Here is a 24875-nt window from a genome sequence, read left to right as displayed (position 1 = left end):
AGGCCAGCATTACCCTGATATCAAACCAGACACACACAAAAAAAAAGAAAATGAGAAGCTAATAACACTGATAAATGTAGATGCAAAAATCCTGAACAAAATACTAGCAAACTGAATTCAACAACAGATTAAAAAGATCATTCACCATGGTCAAGTGGGATTCATCCCAGAAATGCAAAGATGGTTCAACATACATAAATCAAGAAATATTAAGCATTTATTGATTTATGTTATACATTATTTAATAAACATTTATTGATTTACATGATACATTAATGTGATACATTGCATTTACAGAACCAAGAACAGAAGCCATATAATTTCAATAGATGCTGAGAAAGCATTCAATAAAATTTAACATCCCTTTATGATAAAAATGCTCAACAAACTGGGGGTATCCCATACCTCAAAGTAATACAAGCCATATATTAGACAAACCCAAAGCCAACATCATACTTAATGGGGAAAAATTGAAAATCCTTTCTCTAACATCTGGAGCCAGACAAAGATCCCCACTTTCACCACTTTTATTCAGTATAATTCTGGAAGTCCTGGCTAGAGCAATTAGCTGAGAGAAAAAATAAAGGGCATCTGAACTAGAAAGGAAGAAGTCAAGTTAGACTTGTTGGCAGACAATGTGATCTTATATTTAGAAAATCCTAAAAACTCTACCAAAAAACTCTTTGAACTGACAAATTCAGTAAAGTTCCAGGATACAAAATCAACATACAAAAATCAGTAGCATTTATATACATCAACAGCAAACAATCTGAAAAAGAAATCAAAAAGCATTTTTTTATTTACAATTTGTCCCCATTTACAATAGCTACAAAGAATATAAAATACATAGGAACCAATTTAACCAAAGAAGTAAAAGATCGATACAAGGAAAACTATAAAACACTGATGAAAAAAATTGAAGAGGACACCAAAATATGGAAAGATAGTCCATGCTCATGGACTGGAAGAACTGGTATTGTTAAAAAGACAATACTACTGGCCGGGTGTGGTTGCTCACGCCTGTAATCCTAGTACTTTGGGAGGCCGAGGCAGGTGGATTGCCTGAGCTCAGGAGTTCAAGACCAGCCTAGGCAACACGGTGAAACTCTGTCTCTACTAAAATACAAAAAATTAGCCAGGTGTGGCAGCGGGCGCCTGTAGCCCCTGCTACTCAGGAGGCTGAGGCAGGAGAATCACTTGAACCCAGGAGGCAGAAGTTGCAGTGAGCTGAGATCACACCACTGCACTCCAGCTTGGGTGACAAAGAGAGACTCTGTCTCAAAAAAAAAAAAAAAAAAGACAATACTACTCAAAGCAATTTGTACATTCAATGCAATTCCTAACAAAATACCAATAACATTCTTCACAGAAAACATTCTTCACAGAAATAGGAAAAAAATCCTAAAATTTATGTGGAACCACAAAAGACCCCAAATAGCCAATGCAATCCTGAGCAAAAAGAACAAAGCTGAAGATAGCATAATACCTGATTTCAAAATATAGTATGAAGCTATAGTAACCAAATCAGTACGGGACTGGCATAAAAACAGACAAACAGTCGAATGGAACAGAATAGAGAACCCAGATACAAATCCATGCACTTACAGCCAACTCATTTTCAACAAAGGAACCAATAACATACGTTGGAGAAAGGGACAGTCTTTTCAATAAATGATGCTGGGAAACTGAATAACCATATGCAGAAGAATGAAACGAGACCCCTATCTCTCACCATAAACAAAAATCAAATAAAATGGATTAAAGACTTAAATCTAAATCCTGAAACTATGAATCTACTAGAAGAAAACATTGAGGAAACACTCTAGGGCATTGGTCTGGGCAAAAAATTTTTTGTGTAAGACCTCAAAAGCATAGGCAACAAAGGCAAAAATAGACAAATGGAATTACATCAAACTAAAAAGCTTCCGCACAGCAAAGGAAACAACCAACAAAGTGAACAGACAACCCCACAGAATAGGAGAAAATACCACAACCTATCCACCTGACAAGGGATTAATAACCAGAATATACAAGGAGCTCCAACAACTTTATAGTAAAAACACAAATAATCCAGTTTAAAAATGGACAAAAGAGATCCGAATAAACATTTCTCAAAAGAAGACATAAAATTGCTAACAGGTATATAAAAGAATGTTAAACATCACTAATCATGAGAAAAATGCAAATCAAAAGCACAATGAGCTATCTTCTCACCACAGTTAAAATGACTTTTATCTGAAAAACAGGGAATAACAGATGCTGGCGAGGATTTGGAGAAAGGGGAATCATTGTACACTGTTGATGGGAATGTAAATTAGTACAACCACTATGGAGAACAGTATGGAGGCTCCTCAGAAAACTAAAAATAGAATTACCATATGATCCAGCAAATCCACTACTGGGTATATATCCCAAAGAAAAGGAATCAATATACTAAAGAGCTATCTGCATTCCCATGTTTACTGCAACAATATTCACAATATCCAAAATATGGAATCAACCTAAGTGGCCATCAATGGATGAATGGATAAAGAAATGTGGTGTATGTACATAACGGAATATTATTCAGTCATAAACAAGAATGAAATCCTGTCATTTGCAGCAATATGGGTGGAACTAGAGGCCATGATGTTAAGTAAATAAGCCAAGCACAAAAAGACAAATATTGCATATTCTCACTCATACGTGGGAGCTAAACAAAAAAACAAGTGGATTTCATGAAGATAGAGAGTAGATTGGTGGTAACCAGAGTTCAGAAAGAGTAGAGGTAGGGGTCTGAATAGAGGCTGGTTAAGGGGTATGTATTAGTCTTTTTTCACACTGCTATAAAAAAATGCCTGAGACTGGGTAATTTATAAAGAAAAGAGGTTTAATTGACTCACACTTCCACATGGCTGGGGAGGCCTCAGGAAACTTACAATCATGTTGGAAGAAGAAGCAGTCACCTTCTTCACAAGGTGGCAGGAGAGAGAAGAACAAAGGAGGAACTTCCAAACATATCTCACAAACCATCAGATCTTGTGAGAGCTCACTCACTGTCATGAGAACACCATGGGGGAAACTGCCCCTTGTGATCCAATCACCTCCCTCCCTCCACTTGTGGGAATTACAGGTCCCTCCCTCAACACGTGGGAATTACAATTCAAGATGAGATTTGGGTGGGGACACAGAGCCAAAACATACCAAGGTGTAATACACAGTTAGACAGAAAAAATAAGACCTGGTGTTCAATAAACCAGTAGGTTAGCTATGGTTAACATTAACCTACTGTACATTTCAAAATAGCCAGAAGAGAATCATTTGAATATTTCCGGCATACAGAAAAGACAAATACTTGGCGATAGATATCCCAATTTCCCTGCTTTGATCTTTACACATAATATTAATCAAATTATCACATGTACCCCCAAAATATGTGCATCTATTATATACCAATTTTTAAAATTAAGTTAAAAATTAAATTTTGGGTTTTGCATGTGAAAAAAGAGAGAATATGGGAGAAAAGAAATTGGAAACATCCCTTAGGGACAATTTTTTTAGGAGTTTTGCTGTAAAGCAAAGCAGAGAAATGAGGTAGTGGCTGGAGAGAAATAGGGTGCAAGGTAAGGGGTTTTATTTATTTTATGGACAATATTACAGTGTATTCATTAGTATGCTGATAATTCAGTACAGAATGAAAATCTTGAAATACAGAAGAGAGAGAAGGACCTCATTCATGAGAAAGCATTTAACATCCAGGGTGCAAAAGAATTTTCTCATATAGGAACTAGGGCCAGTGACTCAGAATGAAAAGTAGAGCATACAGTTTCTAATGCAGAGAGGAGGGCAGATGTGCCTGTGAGGCGGTATAGAAGTTCTCTTTACTCAGTAACAGAAAGCAAAGTCATCAGCACTCAGTGAGATGGGAGGAGTTGTTGGCGGCTTGAAAAGAGAGTAGAAGACCAGGCATGGTGGCTCAGCCTGTAATCCCAGCACTTTGGGAGGCTGAGGTGGGACGATCGCTTGATCCCAGGAGGTGGAGACCAGCCCGAACAACATGGTGAAACTTCATCTCTTAAAAAAAAAAATACAAAAATTAGCCTGGTGTGGTGGCGCAAGCCTATAGTCCCAGCTACTTAGGAGGCTGAGGTGGGAGGGTTGCTTGTGCCCAGGAAGCAGAGATTGCAGTCAGCCAAGATCGCACTACTGAACTCCAGCCTGGCTCAAAAAAATAAATAAATAAATAATGAAAAGAGAGTAGAACCTGTGAAATAGTCATTTAGGAGAATGGATGGACTAAGAAATGTAGAAGGATAGCCAGGCAGCGTGAAGGGCCCACTTGAACTTAATGGTTATAAACTGAAAATGAAACCAATCATCCCAGCCATGTGGTTTTCTCAAACAACCTCTGCCGTACAGGCGCAGGCCAGGAACTGGATTCAAGCAGATTTGGGTTTCCATCAAGAGAATAAAACCAAGAAAGACTGGGACAAGAGAGTTAAGGGTAACGGCACATACACAGGACTGGCCATAACCATGCTCCATGGCCTCTTAAATTGAGTGAGGAGAGAAGTGAGCACATGAGGAAGTGAAGGTCAGGGCAAGGGTGGTAAATCTAAATAGGGAAAAGCTCTGTGGTTTTCCAATGAAGAATGAGGAGAGGAGTAAGGTCCAAGGGAGACATTTTGTGTTCCCCAGGCAAAAGGTAAGACAGCATCTCTGAGGAGGAGACCGAAGGGGACGTGGGCCTCTCCAAGCATCGCAGGCTGAAAATAATAGTCCCCCAAATATGTCCATGTCCTAACCCCCAGAAGCTGTGGATGTTAATTTCTATGGCAAGAGGGATTTTTTTTGAAATGTGATTAAATTAAGGATCTTGACGTCAAGAGATTATCCCAGATTAGCCAGCTGGGCCTGATGTAATCACAACAGTCGTTATTAGAAGGACCCACGAGGAGCCAGTGCCTGAGCATGTGATGTGATGATGAAGGCAGAGGTTGCAGTCATGCACTTTGAAGATAAAGGAGCGAGCCATAAGCCAAGGAATGCAAATAGTCACTGGGAACTGGAAAAGGCAAAGAAATATTCTCATCTAGAACCTCCAGGAGGAACTAGCCCCACCAACACTGACTTTATAAAGCCCAGTAAAACTTGATTTCAGACTTGGCACCTCCAGAAGTTTAAGAGAATACATGTTTGTTATACTACTAAGTTTGTGTTAATTTGTTGTGACAGCAATTGGAAACTAATACACCAAGGAAGGGGGAGGATGTAGAAGAGAGGTCCAGGCAACATCTCTTTCCTCTCCAAAATAAATCTGAAAGAAAGGAATTGGGAAAAGACCAAATGGGTAGCTCTGTGTCACTCGGTGAGAAGTGAAATAAACGTAAAATCCTGGTATCAACAACCCTTGTGTGCGTTTAGGAGAGTTCTGACTGCTGGGAGCCACTTGTCTAATTCCCTCACCTCCTGTGTTTGTTCCAAGATCCCCTATTTAAAATTGCAAAGTACACCTCCAGTCCTACACACCCACAAACGCACCTCGCCACACCCCGCCCAGCTCTATGCTTTCAGTACCACCTCATGACACACACGACGCCATATATTTACTATATTTATGGATTGCTTGTTTCCCCAACTAGAATAGGGCAGTGACTTTTGTGCAAGCATCTTGAACAGCTCCTGGTACACAGTTGGCTCTCAATTAATATCTGTTAAATGGATGAACTTCAGAGGTGAGATGGAAGATGCCGAATGGCAAATATTCACTTCAGAATGTTTTGAAAGGTAAAGATGAAATTATGGGTATTTACATCCTTTTCCCCCAATAGTATTTTAACAAATGAAAATCACCTTAACAGGTATTCCTAAAATAATTCTTATTTGTTTGTAATAAAAAACGAGGAGGAGGACTTGAATACACGCGTCGCTGACTCAAAGATGGTCCCCTCCGCCCAAGAATCCCGCTCCGCACAGCGCAGAGTTCAGGGGCCCGCGCCGGAAGTGGGCGTGGTTCGCCCGCGGCTTGCTGGGACTTGTATTTCGGGGCCCTAGGCGCGCGAGCGGTCAGCATCCGGAATCTGGCCCCTGCAGGCGTGGGGTTCCACGTGGGAGGTGAGACTGGCCGGGCTTCCCCAGCCGCTGGCAGAGGCGTTCAGGGGTCAGGAAATGGGTGTGCCGCGGGTAAGGCGCTGGGCCGCCGAGCTGCGGAAGCCGGGAGGGCGGCGATGGTAGGGCACGCGACCAGCGGAGGCGCGGCCCGCGGCGGCACGTGTGTCCCGGCGCCGCATTTCCGAGCTGCTGCGCCCCCGGGGCCGGGCTGCGGCCACACCGAAGCCTGTGGGGCCCTGCAGCTGAGCGGCCGCGCCTCCGATGGCCCCTCCTCCCTCCTGGCCGAGCTCTGGCCTGGGCCGGCTGGGGGCTTCGTGGTTGGCCACGCCGGCCTTTTCCTCGCCTGTGACGGGCGTTATTGCAGGGGGGTTTTCGGTGGACGTTAGGCGACGGACGGGGGCTCCTGTAAGAGACTGAGGTTTCTGTCCGCAGCACTGCCTTCGCTGAAAAGAGCTTGCATCTGAGCCCCCGCACCGCAGGAACGAGCCAGGCTCCTGAGAATGAGGTCGGGGAAGGCGTCTTGGGCAACCGAAATCCATCCCGAGAAGCTTCTCCTCTTAACTAGAACTTTAGGACAGAGATCGGGAAAGTCAGAGGAAATGGGCACGGCTTCGAGCTGCCGGCGGCTGCGGAATTTACCTAGCCTCTTGGTTTTGGGGGGAAAACTTGGCTTGTTTAATCGAAAGCCCTGTGGAGAGAGATGAAGGTGGTGACAGAAAATGCTTCACCTCTCACCTGATGGAGGGAGTGTGGGTGGAAGTGACTGAAGAAGCGTCAGAGGCAGGAGCGGAGTAACTTTTTCCCCGCAGTCTTGCTGGACTTGATTTTCATGGCTTTTTCTCTTTCCCTAACTCTGCCTTTCCAGGAATCCATCCCCTCTGGGAGTAAGAAATGACCAGGGTCCGGGTGAGTTGGCGTTCCATTTCTCCTAAAATGCCATCTCCCTGAAATGTCCCTGTGCCATGTGTTGTTTTCTTTATTGTCAGGCCCCCAGTACGGTATTTTATAGCTATGGATGTAGGGACATTAAGATACTAAGGACATGTAGCTAGCAGATGATGTCACCAGGGTCTGCACAGAGAGTTTTCACTGGCCCATCCTGCCTCCAAGAATTTATTCCACTCCTCAGAGCAGTGGGCTGTGCCCTCCTGGGGAGCCTCTCAAAGCCTGCCTTTTCCTGCCAGACATTTCACTCACATTGAAAGTCATTCCAAGCTATTCCATACTCATCCCAGTGCTAAGTGGTCTCAGCAAAACAGATAGAATGATAAACCACGGTGCTTTTCTTCAAGGAGCTTACCATCTTGATGAACATATTATATTACCTGTACACAAAAAAATGCATATTAATAGTGATAATTTATTAACTATGAGTCAAAAACGAGGAAATTCGTTAAATGGCAGCACAGTGGTTACAAAATCACTCTAGAAATGCTTTTCAACTAGGCTATGCATCAGAACTCTCTGTGGTGTTTTTTAAGAACTAAGCTTCCTTCTCTCTTCCAGACCTAGTGAAAGGAGAGTTTCACTCCTTTTTTATTCTGTTGATCTTTGTACATCCAAAGGTTTATTGTGAAATATCTCTCTATACACTATAAGTGTCTCTAGGGTAGGTAAAATGAGTTATTCATCCTTTATACTCAGGTTGATTTGTTCTCTTTCACTAGCATGTCTACATATTTAACTGTTCCAGTAAATTTTAAATTACCAAGTCGTACTTTTTTAAAGAGAGTTTTCAGTTGTCCCCATAAAACCATCTGTAGGAGGTTACCTCAAAATTAACCCTTAGACTCCCAGGGTATTTGAGATGGTCAGCCCCCACTTAGAATCCCATGGTGTTTGAGATGGTCGGCCCCCTCTTTGCCCTGTCCTGGCGTTTTATGGTGGAGAGCTCTAACTCGGCTAACTCTGAGAGAGCCGAAGGAAAGTGCCTTGTCCTTTGTTTCAGAGAGCAGAAGGCCAGAAATAAACCCCGTGTTTTCTTCCTTCAGGCTGTTCTTTCTCCATTAACTAAACAGGTCATCACATCAGAAGTTGTTTGAATAAAATATCAGACTGCGTTTTAAGGGAAAAAAAATGTTTTTTAACACTACCAGCAAAGGCCATCTTTTTGCTTGGCAAATACAGCCCTCACACACATGAGCTCTTAGAAAAAATCTGTTTAGAGGACAGTAAGCTGACTTGAGGTACTGAGAGCATGGCTTCTCTGTGCCCTGAAAAGTAATTGAGGACTTCAAGGGAGATTAACCTTAGTAGAATCAATACATTTTCCTTCCTTCGCTTCTGCCTGCTCCCTAATGATTAAGTATTCACTGCCGCTGCAACTGGGGATTGCCAGTTTAGTAAATTTTGAGATTCTGGTGTGTGTTACACAACAACTTTTTTAATTTAAAGGAAGGACTTCATTCCAAGCATTGTGTGTTTTCTATGTACCACACATTGTCCTTAGGTCTGCTGAAAGGCGGGAGTCTTAGTTAACCCTGCTTTTCCTCTGTGACATTGGGTAAGTCACTTCGCCCTTATGAACTGTGGTTTTTTTCTCTGTAAACTGAGGGTCTTGGGCTTGACCATCTTTATGTTTTCTTTTAGTTGTATTATTATTCATTTAAATTGAATGTGAATTTATATTTATCTTTCAGATTCCAAGTCAATTGTGGTAGTTGCTGGGGATTTAAAGATGAGTTGAGGCCAGACATGGTGGCTCACACCTGTAATCCCAGTACTTTGGGAGACTGAGTGGGGAGGATCACCTGAGGTCAGGAGTTGAGACCAGCCTGGCCAACATAGTGAAACCTCATCTCTACTAAAAATACAAAAATTAGCTGGTCATGTTGATGCCTGTTGTAATCCCAGCTACTCGGGAGGCTGAGGCAGGAGAATCTCTTGAACCCGGGAGGTGGAGGTTGTAGTGAGCTGAGATCATGCCACTGCACTCCAGCCTGGGCAACAGAGTGAGACTCTGTTTCAAACAACAAAGATGAGTTGAGTGTAGCCCCTATCCTTCAGAATCTTCCAGCCAACTTGGGAGAGACTTAATAGCTATAGTAGAGGGATGTGAAAGATGCTATGAGATCTCAGAGGAGGAGAATTCTAACTCATCCTCATGCTTCAGAAAGAGGCTATTGTCCTGAGACTGAAAGCTCCAAAATGGATGGGAGAACTCAATAAGTTAGGGCTTACTATAGAAAGGACTGTGCTAGACTCAAGTGTAATGTGTTGAATGACTCCAGGTAATCTAGTGTGCCTCTTCCTGCTTTTCCACTTCAAAGTAAATTGTTAGATACAGCAGAGATGGGCTCTAGAAAGAAGTGGAAGGCCACATGATGGCATGTATGTAGTTCTGAGGAGGTCGACATTTGTCTGATAGAAACAGGAAACAATTGAACTTGTGACCTTCCTCTTTGGTTGGCCTTTAGAATATCAAGTCTGCTCTCCCAACTGTAAGCAGGAGCACAGCCTTGGAGTGACTCCTTAGTGCCACTGATACCTGGGAAGACTGTTGATTATTCAGTGTTTCAGTCCCACCTTTGTCTTGCTTTAACAGGAGCACTAATTTCCTTTCCTTTTCTCCTTTCCCTTGTCACAATGATTCTTTTCATTTGGTCTACTCCTGTCATTTTTTTTACCTACCACAAAGTTAGTAGTCCACCAACATATCCTTTCCCTTCTCAGAATGGAGTCCCGCCTGCCATTTTATCTTGAGGACCTTAAAAAATTAATAACTCTGGTTGTCTAACCTAGGGACTGGAAGATGACAAAAATTGTACTACAAAGAATTGGTAAGGAGTTATTGTAGCCTAGGTAAGAAAAAAAATAAGGGTCTTACTAAGACTGGCAGTGGAAATGGAAAAGAGGTAACACATTGGAGGGAAATTTAGGAGGCAGAATTGACAGGATCTGAAATGGTTTGAATATTGTTGAGGTAGAGAAGGAGGATTAGACAATCCAGACAACTGAATGGAAGACGGATAAAAAAATAAGGGAGAGAAAAGATAATTGGTGGGCTTGCATCTCTGAAGATAGAAGAAGGGATTTGATCTAGAATGCACAGGAAGAGATTAGCCTTAAACAGAAAGAAATTTTTTTTTCTCTGTGGTCTGAAGAGAAGGTCTGGTTGGGAAGAGCAGCCAGTCCACTTGCTTTTAATATGCCATGGGTCATGCCTTGCTAAAGGATGTGGTGATGGAGCTTGAAGGCAGCAACCTTTGCTTCTGTTTGTTTGTCCCACCTTTACTCCGGGGCTTGAGCCTCCTTTTCCAGCCCTCTTCCTCAGAATGGAGACCAGTGACCTTGAACAGAAAGCTTGGGAGACAGCACCCATCCTTACCTTCATCTTTACCCTCATCCTTCCCCACTGGTGACAAGTTGGGTAAGTCATGTCACTCCTGCAGGGCAGGCCCAAGGAAGGAGGGAGTGGTGCCTCTTTAGCCTCAGGCCAAAGCTGGCTTAGCTGATCAAATTTATGAGACAGCCTTTATGACTTTTTATATATTCTATCACTTTACTTTTGAAATTGTGCCTTAGAGAGTGGTGCCAGCCCATGCACTGTGCAGATATAAGTACTGAAATTGAGAGTTTCAAAAACAAAAAAAAACTGGTTCTTCACCACAGGTAGTTTAAGAAGCATTGCTTCATCAGACAGAGCCCTGAAGGGAACCAGATTTGCTGACATTGACTGAGTAAATATTTGGACTCCCTTTATGTGCCAGGCCCTGCTTGAGGTCTTGGGGATGCAGTCATGAACAAATGAGGCAGCCTCTCTATTCTTGGGGAATTTAAATCTCAGCAGGGAAAGACAGTAAATAAGAAAGCAAGTGAATAAGAAAATAAGGTAAGGCATAAGTTATAAGAAGAAATTAATTAAATTAAACCAGGAAAATGATATATACAGGATGCTCCAGTGGATTAGATGGTCAGTGACATGCTTTCTGAAGAGGCAACAGTTGGACTGAGAGCTGAATCATGAGGAATGGAGAGGGCAGCTAGTGCAGAAGCTACAATGAGTTTGATGCAGTTCAAGGGCCTGCTGGGTCACTGGTGCTGAATATGATCATAAGAGAGGCCTAGGTTGGGGAGGTGACAGGAGAGCCTCATGGGCCAGGATGAAGAGTCTGGATTTTACTGGATGGCCACTGAAAAGCCTTTGGAGGGTTTCATGCTTGGCCTTGTTTTTGTTTTAAAAGATCACCTTGGCTGTCATGTGGAAAACTCATGTTTGGGGGAGCAGGAGTAGAGTCAGACCAACCAGGAGGTTGATGTGGGTGAGAGCAAGTGCTGCCTAGGCCTAGAGAGGTGACAGTGCAGGGCAGGGGAGCTGGGTGGATGCCGATATGCTTTAGCGGTAAAGGAGGTGGGTGATAGGTGAGATGTGAGGATGAGAATGAAATGACATCGGGGATTTTGGTTTGAGCAATTGAGTGGTTCGTGTGGCTGTTTACTAAAATGGGGATGACTGGGGAAGAGCAGATGCTGATGGATATTGCTGGAGCAGGAGTTCTGTTGGGGCCTGTTAAGTGTTTTGTTTTGTTTTTTGTTTGTTTGTTCAACTCACTGCAACCTCCGCCTCCCGGGTTCAAGAGATCCTTCCACCTCAGCCTCCTGAGTAGCTGGGACTACAGGCACACATCACCACGCCTGGCTAATTTTTGTATTTTCAGTAGAGACGAGGTTTCACCATGTTGGCCAGGCTGGTCTCGAACTCCTGACCTCAAGTGATCCGCCCACCTCGGCCTCCCCAAATGCTGGGATTACAGCCGTGAGCCATCGTGCCCAGCTAGGGCCTGTTAAGTTTTAAGCACTTTAGACGTCCCAGTGTAGATGTTAAAAGGTAGAAAGGTGGAGTCTGGAGGTGAGGTAAGAGGTTAGGGCTGGAAATAAATATTTGGCAGTGAATGGTATTTTAAGTCAAGGGATCCCTCAGGAGAGTGTTTTATGGCTGTGTGTATATGTGCTATTTTATTTTCCCAGTAATGTTCAACTACTTAGTTTAGAAGAGGAAGAACAGAAAGCATAGGAAGTGATTTTTAACTTGTAGGATATTAGAGAGATTCATATTTTAAGAGTAGAGGGGTCCAGGTAGTGGACTAGTCCCGATTATGGTTATTACAGTTTGATGAAATGTGGCTGAGATCATTGGCACTGTGGAGATTAAGAAATGTGAGGTCAGAGTGTTGGGTAAATTGTTCCTGCGAGTGTTAAGGTTGTCAGGATAATGGTGGGAATGGGGTGAAGATGACAACTCAGCAATGACACAAGAAGAGAGTGACACAGAAAGATTCAGTAGCTGAGAACTTGAGCGTAGATATGTTGTGGGCAGGAGGGAAATGATTTGGATGGAAGTAGCCAAGTAAGTGAGAAAGGAAAGACTTTCCAACAAAACTTGGCTTAGCTCACTCAGATCCCTGAGCTGCAAACTTCTTCTATACCTTTCTTACCTTTTCCAGTGCTGCTGACTTCACCCCACTTGCAGGGCATTTGTGCAGATGGTTGTTTGTTGAGGAGGAATGTGCTTAATGTTTTAGGAACCAGTTACATTCAAGGATGCCTCTGTGGCCTTCACCGAGGAGGAGTGAGGTCACCTGGACTCTGCTCCCAGGAAGCTGTGCGGAGCTGTGATGCTGGGCAACTACAGAAACTTGGTCTTGGTGGGTAAGGACATGTGAACTTGGACACCTGCCCATTGGCTTCTTTGTTTCCTACTTCCTTTTTGACACAAAAGGATGTTTTCTGACTATTCTAAGCAGCTAAAGAACTTGGTAAAAATTGGAGAATGGTAGTTTTACTGGGTTGTCTCAAAAACCATACCTTTTCCATCCTTTATAAGCCAGAGGTGGGACTGATTTTGCTTTCTGCACAATCACCCAATCCCTGTGAGTTTCTGAAATGTGATCTCTCAGATGGAGCAAGATAAAGATCATTATATAATAGCAAGTGAACCTCAAAGAGCACCAGGCATCATGGCAAGTTATAAGCCAGGCTAATCCACAGCAGAGGAATCCCTTTTTCAACGTTCCAGGAGTTATCTGGTATCTTGCAGTCTGTGTCGAAAGCAGGGACTTCCAGGATGTTTCCTATGTGCTACTGTTTTACCTGATCTATTCACTTACTGCCCTTCTACCTCTGCAGGAGGTTGTGGTCTTTCCCAGTAATGGTCACTTGCTTCTCTGTACTCCTGCCTTTCCCCACATTTCCCCAACATTGGTCATGTGCCATCTTTGCTTGGACTTTATTTTTCATTGAATGTCCTCCCCCTGCCTGGCAATATCCAGTTTCCATTATTTCTTTTCTTACACATTCAGGAATTCATCCCTCTCCCCTCCCAAAAATAATCGAAATTCATGGTGAGACACTCTCATACCCTACAAATAGATAAAACACTTTTTTGTTTTCTTTTTTTGAGACGGAGTCTTTTTGTTTTGTTTGTTTGTTTGTTTGTTTGTTTTGAGACGGAGTCTCCCTCTTTCGTCCAGGCTGGAGTCTGGAGTGCAGTGGCACGATCTCGGCTCACTGCAACCTCCACCTCCCAGGTTCAAGTGATTCTCCTGCCTCGGCCTCTGGAGTGGCTGGGATTACAGGCATGAGCCACCACACCCGGCCAGATAAAACACTTTTTGACTACCTGAATCAAGGAGCCTTAAACATTTTCAAATGCAGTAATTCATTTTTTAGATATCTAGTCTAAGGCAATAATTAGTAATTTTAACTGAAAATTGTGAACAAAGATATTCATTATAGAATTATTTAAAATAGTGAAAAAATTATTTACCCACTAGATGTATCACAGGGGATTGGTCAGGCAAATTATCATGGATCACAGAAAAGTATGTAGCCATTAAAAAATATGTTCATGAAGAACTTAAATTAGATGGGGAAATGAATGTATACCTACTAGGTTGAACCATATGAACTTGCCATTTTATAGCCAAAAGCAGCCATTCTACAAAAAACACTGAAAAGTGGCTGGGCACAGTGGCTCATGCCTATAATCCCAGCACTTTGGGAGGCTAAGGCGGGCAGATGGCTTGAGCTCATGAGTTTGAGACCAGCCTGGGCAACACAGCGAAACCCTGTCTCTACAAAATATACAAAAATTAGCAGGACATGGCGGCAGTTACATGTAATCCCAGCTACTCAGGAGGCTGAGGTGGGAGGACCCCTTGAGCCAGGAAGGCAGAGTTGCAGTGAGCCGAGATGACACTACTGCACTCCTGCCCTGGTGACCGTGAGACCCTGTCAAAAAAAAAAAACACTGAAAAATGTGTCATCATGTTAGCTTTCAGGGTTTTTGCCTCCCTCAGTCCACAGTGGGACCCTGGTTCTCTTCCCTCAGTAACTGTGGCCTTTCAGTTTCTATTTTCAGCTAATCCTGGGGAGTAAAGAGAATGCTACAGGGCAAAGTGGTTACCTCCAGGTAGTGAACCAGGCCTTTCCACGTTCTTTATATAAACCCAGTGCCTGTGCTCTGTTCTTGTACCAAAATTGCCCACTTGGAAGTCACTACTGAACTTTTGTCTCTTTCAGAGTTTGTTCCTTTTTTAATTTTTATTTCAGCATATTTACCATTATCAGTTTTATTGATGGTTTCTATAGTGTTGACCTTCTCTTGAAATTCTTTGTCATGCATGAAATCATAGTTTTTCTGTTTCCTCCAGCTTCTCTCTTAGTCCTTTGCTCTGCAGATTCTCTGGCTTCTTTTTCTTTTTTTTTTTTTTTTTTTTTTTTTTTTCTTGAGATGGAGTCTTGTTCTGTCACCCAGGCTGGAGTGCAGTGGCGTGATCTGGGCTCACTGCCACCTCCGCCTCCTGGGTTCAAGCAATTCTCCTGCCTCAGACTCCTGAGTAGCTGGGACTACAGGCGCGTGCCACCATGCCCGGCTAATGTTTTGTATTTTTAGTAGAGACAGGGTTTCACCATGTTAGCCAGGCTGGTCTTGATCTCCTGGCTTCTGTCTTTTTTCTAACTTGAAATCTCAAAGGGCTCTTTGGTTTTAAGTTACATCATCAGTGTTTCTCGGCCTTTTTCTTTATCATTACTCTCTCCCTGCCAAAAGGAGACAAATTAAATTTCTCCTGTAGAAAAATTAAGTATGAAGGAATAAGGTTTTGTCAGGTAGGATTGTTTTTATGAGTCCCAAACCAGCATAATATGTAAGATTTGTTTGGCCAGGTGTGGTGGCTCACACCTATAATCCCAGCACTTTGGGAGGCCGAGGTGGGCGGATCACCTGAGGTCAGGAGTTCGAGACCAGCCTGGCCAACATGGCAAAATCCTGTCTCTACTAAAAATACAAAAATTAGCTGGGCGTGGTGGCGGGTGCCTTTAATCCCAGCTGCTCAGGAGGCTGAGGCAGGAGAATTGCTTAAACCCGGAAGGTGGAGGTTGCAGTGAGCCGAGATCGTGCCACTGCACTCCAGCCTGGTTGACAGAGTGAGACTCTGTCCCAAAAAATAAAATAAAATAAAAAGATTTGTTGTGTCCCCTATGAACCAATTCTCACCCCTTGGGGACATTATTGCCCCTGAGAATGCATGGTATGTCCACTTATAGGAGGAGCTGTTACACATTTAATGGTGTTCAACTCTCCTTTCTATTTTGATAAGCCTAAAATTATTTTCCTTTTTAAGTTCCCTTCTTATAGTCCCACTTTTGTCAGTATTAAAGTTGTTCCAGTCTCCTAGTTTAGAAATAGGCCATGACTATATTCGGTTTCTCTTGGGCCAGGCGTGGTGGCTCATGCCTGTAATCCCAGCACTTTGGGAGGCAGAAGCAGGAGGATCACTTGAGCCCAGGAGTTGGAGACCAGCCTGGGCAACATGGCAAAACCCCTTCTACAAAAAATATAAAAAATTAGCCGGGCCTGGTGGCATACACCTGTAGTCCCAGCTACTTGGGAGGCTGAGGTGGGAGGATCACCTAAGCCAGAGAGGTTGAGGCTTCAGAGAGCAAAATTCTCCAGCCTGGGCAACAGAGTGAGACCCTGTCTCAAAATAAAAAAATTTTTTAAAAAAAATTTCTCTCTTCTCGTCCTCAGTATCTAAAATCTCCCACCAATTCTTTTTTAACTTTAACTTCTTTTAAGTTTATTAACACTCCTAGATCCCACAGATGTTGCCCTAAAGTCATTCTGTTTAACGCTTAAAATAGGGTAAAAATTAGTCAGATTGTTGCCATCGTTTTTCAAGCTCAAGTTAGATGTTGCAGGTACACTAGTCTCCTTTAAACATCATTTATGATGTCATTCTTTGGAGTGTTACTATACGGTCAGTAAGTCCTGTGAAGAATGGAACACCGCTCTGAGAGAACAAAGACGTGATGGAATGCGGGTTGTGTATGTGTCTTACGGAGAGCCTCTGAAGTGACATTAAACTGGGAGCTAAGGGATCAATAGTTTAAACAGGTGGCTAGGGAGGGGAAGAACATTCCAGGCAAAGAGAACCATGCAAGAAGAGACCCAAAGACCTGGAAGGAGGAGTGTGGTAGACCACAGGGTGCATCTAAGAAGGACTGAGAAGAGGTGGTGAACATGGCCTGGCTCAGTTATGGCGTTGAAGGCCCTGGTAAAAAGTAGATTTATGACAAAAAATTAGCCAGGCATGGTGGTACATGCCTGTAATCCCAGCTTCTTGGGAGGCTGAGGTGGGAGAATCGCTTGAGCCCAGGAGGTGGAGGTTGCAGTGAGCTGAGATAGTGCCAGTGCACTCCAGCCTGGGAGACACTGTGTGACCCCATCTCAAAAAAAAAAGTAGATTTATCTTCAGTGGGCAGCCATTGTATCAAGGAATGGTGTGCTCTGATTGACCCAGTATCACTGTGACTGCTCTGTAGAGAGTGATTTACAAGTAGACAAAAATGAAATAGGAGATGGGCTTCCAATTTCAAGCTCTGCTCTAGGTTTTCATTGTTATTAACATAAAATGGAACATACTTGTTCAACATTTTTCTTTTATGCAAGTAAGACATAAAAGTCTCAAAAACTCAAACAACACAGTATAATATGAAATCAAATCACTTTCTATGGACTCTGTACTTATGTATGTACATTACAAGTATATGTATTAAAATTTTATGAGATTACACTGTGTATTTTTAATGTGCTGTTTTATGCAGTATGTGTTAGAGCTTTTTTCTGCCATGTTAAATCCCTATAAAAGGACCCCTTTTCTCATGTCAGTATTTTCTCCTAATGTTATACACTCATTCTTCATATTTTTTTTTCTTCTTCTTCTTTTAGACGAAGGCTCACTCTGTCGCCCAGGCTGGAGTGCAGTGGCACAATCTCGGCTCACTGTAAGCTCCACCTCCCGGGTTCAAGTGATTTCTCCTGACTCAGCCTCCTGAGTAGCTGGGACTACAGGTGCCCACTACCACACCCTGCTATTTTTTGTATATTCAGAGGAGACTGGGTTTCACCGTGTTGGTCAGGCTGATCTCGAACTCCTGACCTCAAGTAATCCACCCACCTCGGCCTCCCAAAGTGCTGGGATTACAGGCATGAGCCACCGTGCCCGGCCTCATTCTTCATATTATTTTAAACATTTTTTTAAAAGCTAACATCACACTTTCATTAAAATGCACCTTTCATAAAATTCCTCCCCCATTCATTTTCATATACCTATAATTTCTATAACCACTAGCCATTTCCAAGTATTGTACGATATGGCTGTTGAAGCAATATCCTTTAAAATCCATTTAATCATTTCAGCCCATTTCATGATTTAACGCTACAAACTGCCCTGTTTTTCTTTTGTCATTTTTCTTTTTCATTTTTGCCATTACTTTTGAAATTTATAAACAAAGTGATACACTCACCTGGGTAAAACAAGTTGTGTGGACAGCTCATAGTAAAAACATTCCTGTTTCCTGACTCTGCTGCTCCATCAGCCACAGTGTGGCTTCCAAAGGCACTCAGTTTTCACCTTTCTAGCTGTTCCATATTGGGTTTGTCTTCCTACTCCAGACAATATGTTTACATATTGTTATTTTTCTCTCTCATGTAAACAATAAATGCATTCACATGGTTAAAAAATAAATATAAAACGTGCACAGTGAAAAGTTTCTTTCATGTCTGTAGCTCTTGTCTATCCCGGTTCTGGTCATTGGCCTCTAAAAAGTGAGCTGTCTCATGTAAATGTCATTTCACAAATTATGCCTGAAAATCTGAAGAGTAAAACTCTAAGTTGGAATGCTGAGTGCATATATTTATGACATTGATTGATAATTGTCAAAATGTCTGTCCTTCGTATCAGTTTACATTCACAAGTAATGTGTGTCTTCAGACTTCGGGTTTGTGCTAGTGTAACAGGTGGAAAATGGTACCTCAGTATCCTTTAAATTTAGTGTATTGTGATATACTGTTATTTCTCAGTTTATCAATATTTTGTAATTTCTATTGACTTCCCTATATTATAGATGAGGATGTAGCTTTTTTATATTACCTCCCCAAATGCCTAGCTTCCCAAGAATTTATGTTAGAGTCATGTCAGTGATGAATGCTTACATTGCTTTGACTTTGTAATTAGTTGTTCACTGTAGAGTCAAGTAGTACAGTATGATTATAGTTCTTTTTAATTTTTTTATTTTTCCTCTGAAGCTAATACTTGCTTTTTAAAAATATATTTTATTTGGGGGGTTTTGACTCCGTGCTGTTATTGTAGAGTTTTGTTTATTTTTTTCTTTTATTTTTCAACTATGGTTTTGGGGTTTGGGGGTTTTTGTTTTGTATTTTGTAGAGAGAGTTTTGCCGTGTTGCACACACTGGTCTCGAACTCCTGAGCTCAAGCAATCACCTCACCTCAACCTCCCAAAATGCTGGGATTACAGACATGAACCACCATGCCTGGCCTAATTATGTATTGTATTGACTTCTTGGCTTACTGCTATTTCTTGCAGCATGTATCCTTTTTCTTAAATTTTAAAAAATTTTGCTATAGTATATTCCTGAATGATTGTTTTAGTAATTGAATCTTTTCGTGTCTGAAAGAGTGTCTATTTTTTCCTCCCACTGAAATGGTTAATTGGCTGGGTAAAAATTATAATTTCACAATGACTTTTAACCCAAAATTTGAAGATATTGAAGATTTGCAATATTGCCAATTAGTTGTTCAGTGTCAATATAATTCTCATTTATTTGCACATAACCTGGCTTTTCTGTTTGGAAGCTTTTAGCATTTTCTGTTTCTTTGTTTGTTTGTTTGTTTGTTTGTTTGTTTTTTCCTTGAAGTCCTGAGGTTTAAAAGAGTATGTTTAGTTTGGGGTCTTTTTACATACCATTTTTTAGCATTTATTGGGCCCTGAATCTTGAATTCTAGGAAACATTTTTTTGTTATTATTTCTTTGATCATTTTCTCTCCCTGTGTTCCATCTTCACTGTCCTCATGCAGCTCCTTGAAGATGGGCTTTTACTTTTATCTTTCTATTTGTCTGTCTTTTCATTTGCATTCTTGGAGAATTCCTCAATCTTCCATCTTAGCCATGTGTTCATTTTACTATTTAACTCATCTAGATTGCAGGCGTTTGACTAAAACAGCCTGACACATATCTAGGAAACAAGTGACATAACCTATCATCATCTTCAGTCATTTTATTTAGAATTATTATTTTTCATAGCAATATGTTTATATTTTATTATTAGATTGTGTTTAAATGTGATATCCTCTCCAGTTTTTCTGGGATTTTAATTATGTACCTTTTAAATTCTGTTGGTCTCCTTATATATTTTTTCAAAATTCTTGTGTTCTCAGCATGATATTGGAGTGTGTCCTCAACCCATGCTTGACCCACTTTGGCATGCATATGTGTTTTACTTTAGGGGACACTTCTGCTGATTGGGCTAGGGAGGGAGGTAATAAGAATCCAGATGGTGGATATTATAGGCCTTTTTTTTTTTTTTTTTTTTTTTTTTGACAGTTGGCAGAGCTAGCTGAGGTTTTATTTTGGGAAAAAGAAAAAATTTGAATTGTTTTGTAGCTGGATACATGGGCAAGGGGACTACCCAGGCAGTAAACTGGCCCCACGGATGGGCTAAGGGCTAGGGCTGAGCCTCAGGTGGGCCTCCTATTCCCTGTACTCCCCTGCACAGTGGTGTAGGCCATTTTTTAAGTCCACCTCTTTTGCCACTGAGTTATCTGGGGCATGCCCTGCTTCTTTATTTCCAGCGCTGGGCTATCTTCCTTGTCAGAACTCCCATTAAAAAGTTTAGCTTGAAGTTTTATCCTGGGCACTTATGTTGTCAATTACTTCTTTTTTGTACCTTAATCCATTGGTCATTGTGTACGTTCAACATTACCTCAACCTCTGCTTCTCTCTTCAGTCCAGTTAATATTATTAGCAGTCTTTCTTTGGCAGATCATTTATTTTATTCTTGAGGCTTTATATGAGGGCACTGCTGCTAGCCATCCAATATTTCTATTTCTAAGAGGAAGAGGGTGGGCTGGGAGAGTGCTGCTAACAGCAAAAACTAGCACAGCTGTTAGGAATGCCTAAGTTGAATTAGGAAATGTCTTACTTTATCATTGTTTATTATTTTCTGAGACATAGACTCCAGAGAAATGGGGTCAGTGCTCCCTTACTTTGTAATTATTGATTCTGAGTTTGGTAATTGAATTTCTATGATTTCTTAGGATGTTTTACCCACGAAGAAGCCTTCTGTTATACATAATTTGAGCTGTACATTTTTTTCCCCTAGTTCCTCCATCACTCCTAATCCATCTGCTCCTTATCATTTAGGAGTTCCTCAATGTTTTTATTCTGATGATATCAGCCTTTCTGTTTTCCCAAGAGTATTATGGATTTCTTGTCATTTCAGTGTAATATTAGGCTATTCACTCTAATTGTTTAAGTCTCGGGGAGGGTTTTGTTTTTGTTTTTGTTTTTTAATATACCAGTAAGTCTAAACTCTGTATTCCTAGCACAGTTCTCTCACAGGAGTTCCAGACCTATATATATCTCACAGCTTACGGACCAGTACTGCAAGAATGTTCCACCAACACCACAGATTATACAAGGCAGTTCTGCTGCCTTCCCTACTTCAGCCTCTTCCTGTTGCATTTCCTATCTGATTATATAGCACCACCATACCGTCACTCAGGCAGGAATCCCAAGGAACAGGCTTGGTGCCTCCTTTCTCTTCTAGGTTTAGTTTATCATCACATGATCTAGAATGAATTTCTCCTATTCTCTCCACAACTATCATCCTTACCGTTTTTCTTCTGATTTGCTATGGCAGCCGTCTCGCTACCTAAAGTCTTGCTTTCCAGTGGTGTTTATTGTCACAAAGTCAGTCATTTCACTCTGAATTAAAATTCTTTAATAGTTTTCAATCCCTTCAGGGTTTAGCCCCAAGGTCCTTATTATTAGACACTAAGCCCTTTGCTCTGTCCTCTTACTTCCCCTCCGTGGCACATTCTTCACCACTCTTACTGTTTTTATCTCCTTCGTAAGAAGCCGCTTGTAGTTTTCTTTAACATGTCATATTTTCTCTCCACATTTCACTTCCTTTTTTTTGTTTGTTTTTTGTTTTTCCTGTCATTTTCTCCCAGAAATCTTCCTAAACACCAGGGTCTGAGTTGAGTGTTCCTCTGCTGTGCTTTCGTGGCTGGTTAGGCATACATCTCTTGTACTGTATTGTACTATACATTCATCTACACCACTCACTTAGTATTATCATTATTTGGTGTATTTGTCTTCCCAGGAAGCTTTAGCTTGTTAAGCAAAAGGATTTATATTTTCTTCCTTGTATTCCCCACACCTATGAAAGCAGAATACCAATTAAATGCAAATTTACTTAAAGGAAAGTAGGCCGGGTGTGGTGACTCATGCCTGTAATCCCAGCACTTTGGGAGGCTGACGCGGATGGATCACTTGAGGCCAGGAGTTGGAGGCCAGCCTGGTCAACATGGAAAAACCACACCTCTACTAAAAATACAAAAATTAGCTGGGCATGATGGCATGTGCCTATAATCCCAGCTACTTGGGAGGCTGAGGTGGGAAAATTGCTTGAACCTGGGAGGTGGAGGCTACAGTGAGACCAGATCACACCACGGCACTCCAGCCTGGGCAGCAGAGTGAAACTCTGTCTCAAAAAAAAAAATGAAGTGAGATGAGATGAAATGTTATTGTTAGCAAGGATATAGGACTTACAGCCTTCTATAGGATTAGTTAGGGAAGACTTTCCTTGGCTATGCTTAAAAGCCAAGAGAAAATTTCTGTCTTGTACCCAGATACAAATGTACCTGACCTTAACCCAAAGGACATGACTATAAAGACAAGCTGAACTTTTTCCTAGTTACTAAGACTTCAGGCCTTAGGCACTCTCACTCTGAAATCTTGAAGTCTACCCTTTGTTCTTACCACTGAATTGTCTTTGTTCCCTAGGAGACTTGAATGAAAATTCTGTGGAGAATCTTCAGCAGAAAACACTTCAGGATCTGTTACATGAGCTTTCCTCCTGGCTAGTTTTGGAAGGCATGGCCAGTACAATTACTGGAAGTCAGGATTGTATTGTGAATCATCGAGGGGAAGTGGATGGGGAGCCTGAACTAGATATTTCCCCTTGTCAACAGTGGGGAGAAGCATCTTCTCCTATTTCCAGAAACAGGGACAGTGTGATGACTCTTCAAAGTGGTTGTTTCGAAAACATTGAAAGTGAAACATATTTGCCTTTGAAAGTCTCAAGCCAAATAGACACACAAGACTCTTCAGTGAAGTTCTGTAAGAATGAGCCTCAGGATCATCAGGAAAGCAGACGTCTCTTTGTAATGGAAGAAAGCACTGAGAGAAAAGTGATAAAGGGGGAAAGTTGTTCAGAGAACCTTCAAGTTAAACTGGTGTCTGATGGACAAGAACTGGCCTCGCCATTGTTAAATGGTGAGGCAACTTGCCAGAATGGCCAGTTAAAAGAATCTTTGGATCCCATTGACTGTAACTGCAAAGACATTCATGGATGGAAATCACAGGTGGTCAGTTGTAGTCAGCAGAGAGCTCATACAGAGGAGAAACCCTGTGACCATAATAACTGTGGGAAAATACTTAACACCAGCCCAGATGGTCATCCATATGAGAAAATCCACACTGCAGAGAAACAATACGAATGTAGTCAGTGTGGTAAGAACTTCAGTCAAAGCTCAGAGCTACTACTTCATCAGAGAGACCACACAGAAGAAAAACCCTACAAATGTGAGCAATGTGGGAAGGGCTTCACAAGGAGCTCGAGTCTGCTTATCCATCAGGCAGTCCACACAGATGAGAAGCCTTATAAGTGTGACAAGTGTGGGAAGGGCTTCACCAGGAGCTCAAGTCTGCTCATCCATCATGCCGTCCATACAGGCGAAAAACCTTATAAATGTGACAAGTGTGGGAAGGGCTTTAGTCAGAGCTCCAAACTGCACATCCACCAGCGAGTCCACACTGGAGAGAAGCCCTATGAGTGTGAGGAGTGTGGTATGAGCTTCAGTCAGCGCTCAAACCTGCACATCCACCAGCGAGTACACACAGGAGAGAGGCCCTACAAGTGTGGTGAGTGTGGGAAGGGCTTCAGTCAGAGCTCGAACCTTCACATTCACCGGTGCATCCACACAGGAGAGAAGCCTTACCAATGCTATGAGTGTGGGAAGGGTTTCAGCCAGAGCTCGGATCTTCGCATCCATCTCAGAGTCCACACTGGAGAGAAGCCCTATCACTGTGGCAAGTGTGGGAAGGGATTTAGCCAGAGTTCCAAACTCCTCATCCACCAGAGAGTACATACTGGAGAGAAGCCCTATGAGTGCAGCAAGTGTGGGAAGGGCTTCAGCCAGAGCTCCAACCTTCACATCCACCAGCGGGTTCACAAGAAAGATCCTCGCTAACTGACATTAGCCCATTCAGGTCTTCACAGCGCTCATACTGTAAAAACTGTTAAATATTTAGTATCACTCTTACTTTATATTCTACAAAGGAGAGAGATGTAAGGGTTATTTAGATATGTTCCCTCACTGAAAAATCACTCATTCAAAATATTTAAGTATCAAGCACTTTGTTATGCTGTACAATGAATGGATTGTTCTTGTTTCTCAGATGGGTAGAGTAAAAGTGTCTGTACTTTACAATTCAACTACATGTTCTACCCAGCATTTTAACGGCAAGAACTTTATATTTATTCTCAAGCAGGGCATGTTTCCCTTTGTTCACATTCTCTGAGAAATTGAAACTCTGGTTTCTCTTCAAATTTTGTGCCTTGTGTTTTTCATACTTCTTTCCAGTCCTGATTAGCCCCCTCTAAACTATGATTGTACACTGCGTCCATTTTAGGCCAAGAGGGCAGTTGGAAATACAATGGACATGGAAATTATTGTGTTTATTGCAAAAAGATATAATAGTTTGTAGCCACACAACAAAAAGCTGGAAGAGAGTTACTCATGTAGTACATTCCCATATACCATTTTGATAGGAAGTTGAACAGCCCCTCCCAGGCAACTATTCAGGAACATAAGTAGTCCTTTTTGGTGAGTACAGCTAGTTTATTGGGATACTTCCAGAGTGAATGTGAGGAAGGGTCCAAAGTAACATGCCTGGCACTTTGGGAGGCTGAAGAGGGTGCATCACTTGAGCCTAGGAGTTCGTGACCAGCCTGGGCAACATGGCAAAATCTTGTCTCTATAAAAAAGTGCAAAAATTAGCTGGTGTGCTGGCACAGACCTGCAGACCCAGCTACTCAGGAGGGGTACCTGAGAGCAGGTGATAATAACAAATAGGTTCCAGAGGCAGAGCTGGAAAAATGAATACATAAGGAGCAGGGGGCAGCTTAGAGGCTG

The 24875-nt window shown here is 42.1% G+C and overlaps 1 protein-coding gene across 21 annotated transcripts, besides 1 other annotated feature; it reads left to right on the top strand.

Annotated features, from left to right (window-relative positions):
• Positions 1-6016: 6016 nt before the first annotated feature.
• On the top strand, positions 6017-24289 carry ZNF239 (zinc finger protein 239). Of its 21 annotated transcripts, none has more exons than NM_001324353.2 (5): positions 6017-6093; positions 6956-6996; positions 10351-10459; positions 12612-12734; positions 22462-24289. In NM_001324353.2, exons 2-5 carry the CDS (start codon positions 6982-6984, stop codon positions 23928-23930), a joined length of 1716 nt encoding a protein of 571 aa, NP_001311282.1. In that variant the 5' UTR covers positions 6017-6093; positions 6956-6981; the 3' UTR covers positions 23931-24289. The 21 variants fall into 21 exon arrangements, with proteins under 21 accessions (NP_001311282.1, XP_047281763.1, NP_001092752.1 ...); XM_047425807.1 differs by having other exon boundaries at positions 6017-6162; positions 8540-10459; NM_001099282.2 differs by lacking the exon at positions 10351-10459.
• Positions 6235-6294: a silencer, noted in NCBI's record as "silent region_2334". NCBI's record gives its function as "represses an Ori minimal core promoter by ATAC-STARR-seq in GM12878 lymphoblastoid cells {active_cell/tissue: GM12878}" and the evidence as "EXISTENCE:reporter gene assay evidence [ECO:0000049][PMID:35858748]".
• Positions 24290-24875: the final 586 nt, after the last annotated feature.

The sequence above is a fragment of the Homo sapiens genome, chromosome 10, assembly GCF_000001405.40.
Source record: "Homo sapiens chromosome 10, GRCh38.p14 Primary Assembly".
Classification (NCBI taxonomy): Eukaryota; Metazoa; Chordata; class Mammalia; order Primates; family Hominidae; genus Homo; species Homo sapiens.
The sequence above is the reverse complement of the archived record's forward strand: the minus strand, read 5'-3'. Positions and strand labels throughout refer to the sequence as shown.

Excerpts from the sequence above, each read along its gene's own strand:
- ZNF239 (XM_047425807.1), top strand. The coding sequence starts at position 10,243 with ATGGGTCATGCCTTGCTAAAGGATGTGGTGATGGAGCTTGAAGGCAGC. Across the intron at positions 10,460-12,611 it reads CCCCACTGGTGACAAGTTGG|GAACCAGTTACATTCAAGGA; the intron begins GTAAGTCATGTC and ends TTAATGTTTTAG. Across the intron at positions 12,735-22,461 it reads ACTACAGAAACTTGGTCTTG|GAGACTTGAATGAAAATTCT; the intron begins GTGGGTAAGGAC and ends TTTGTTCCCTAG.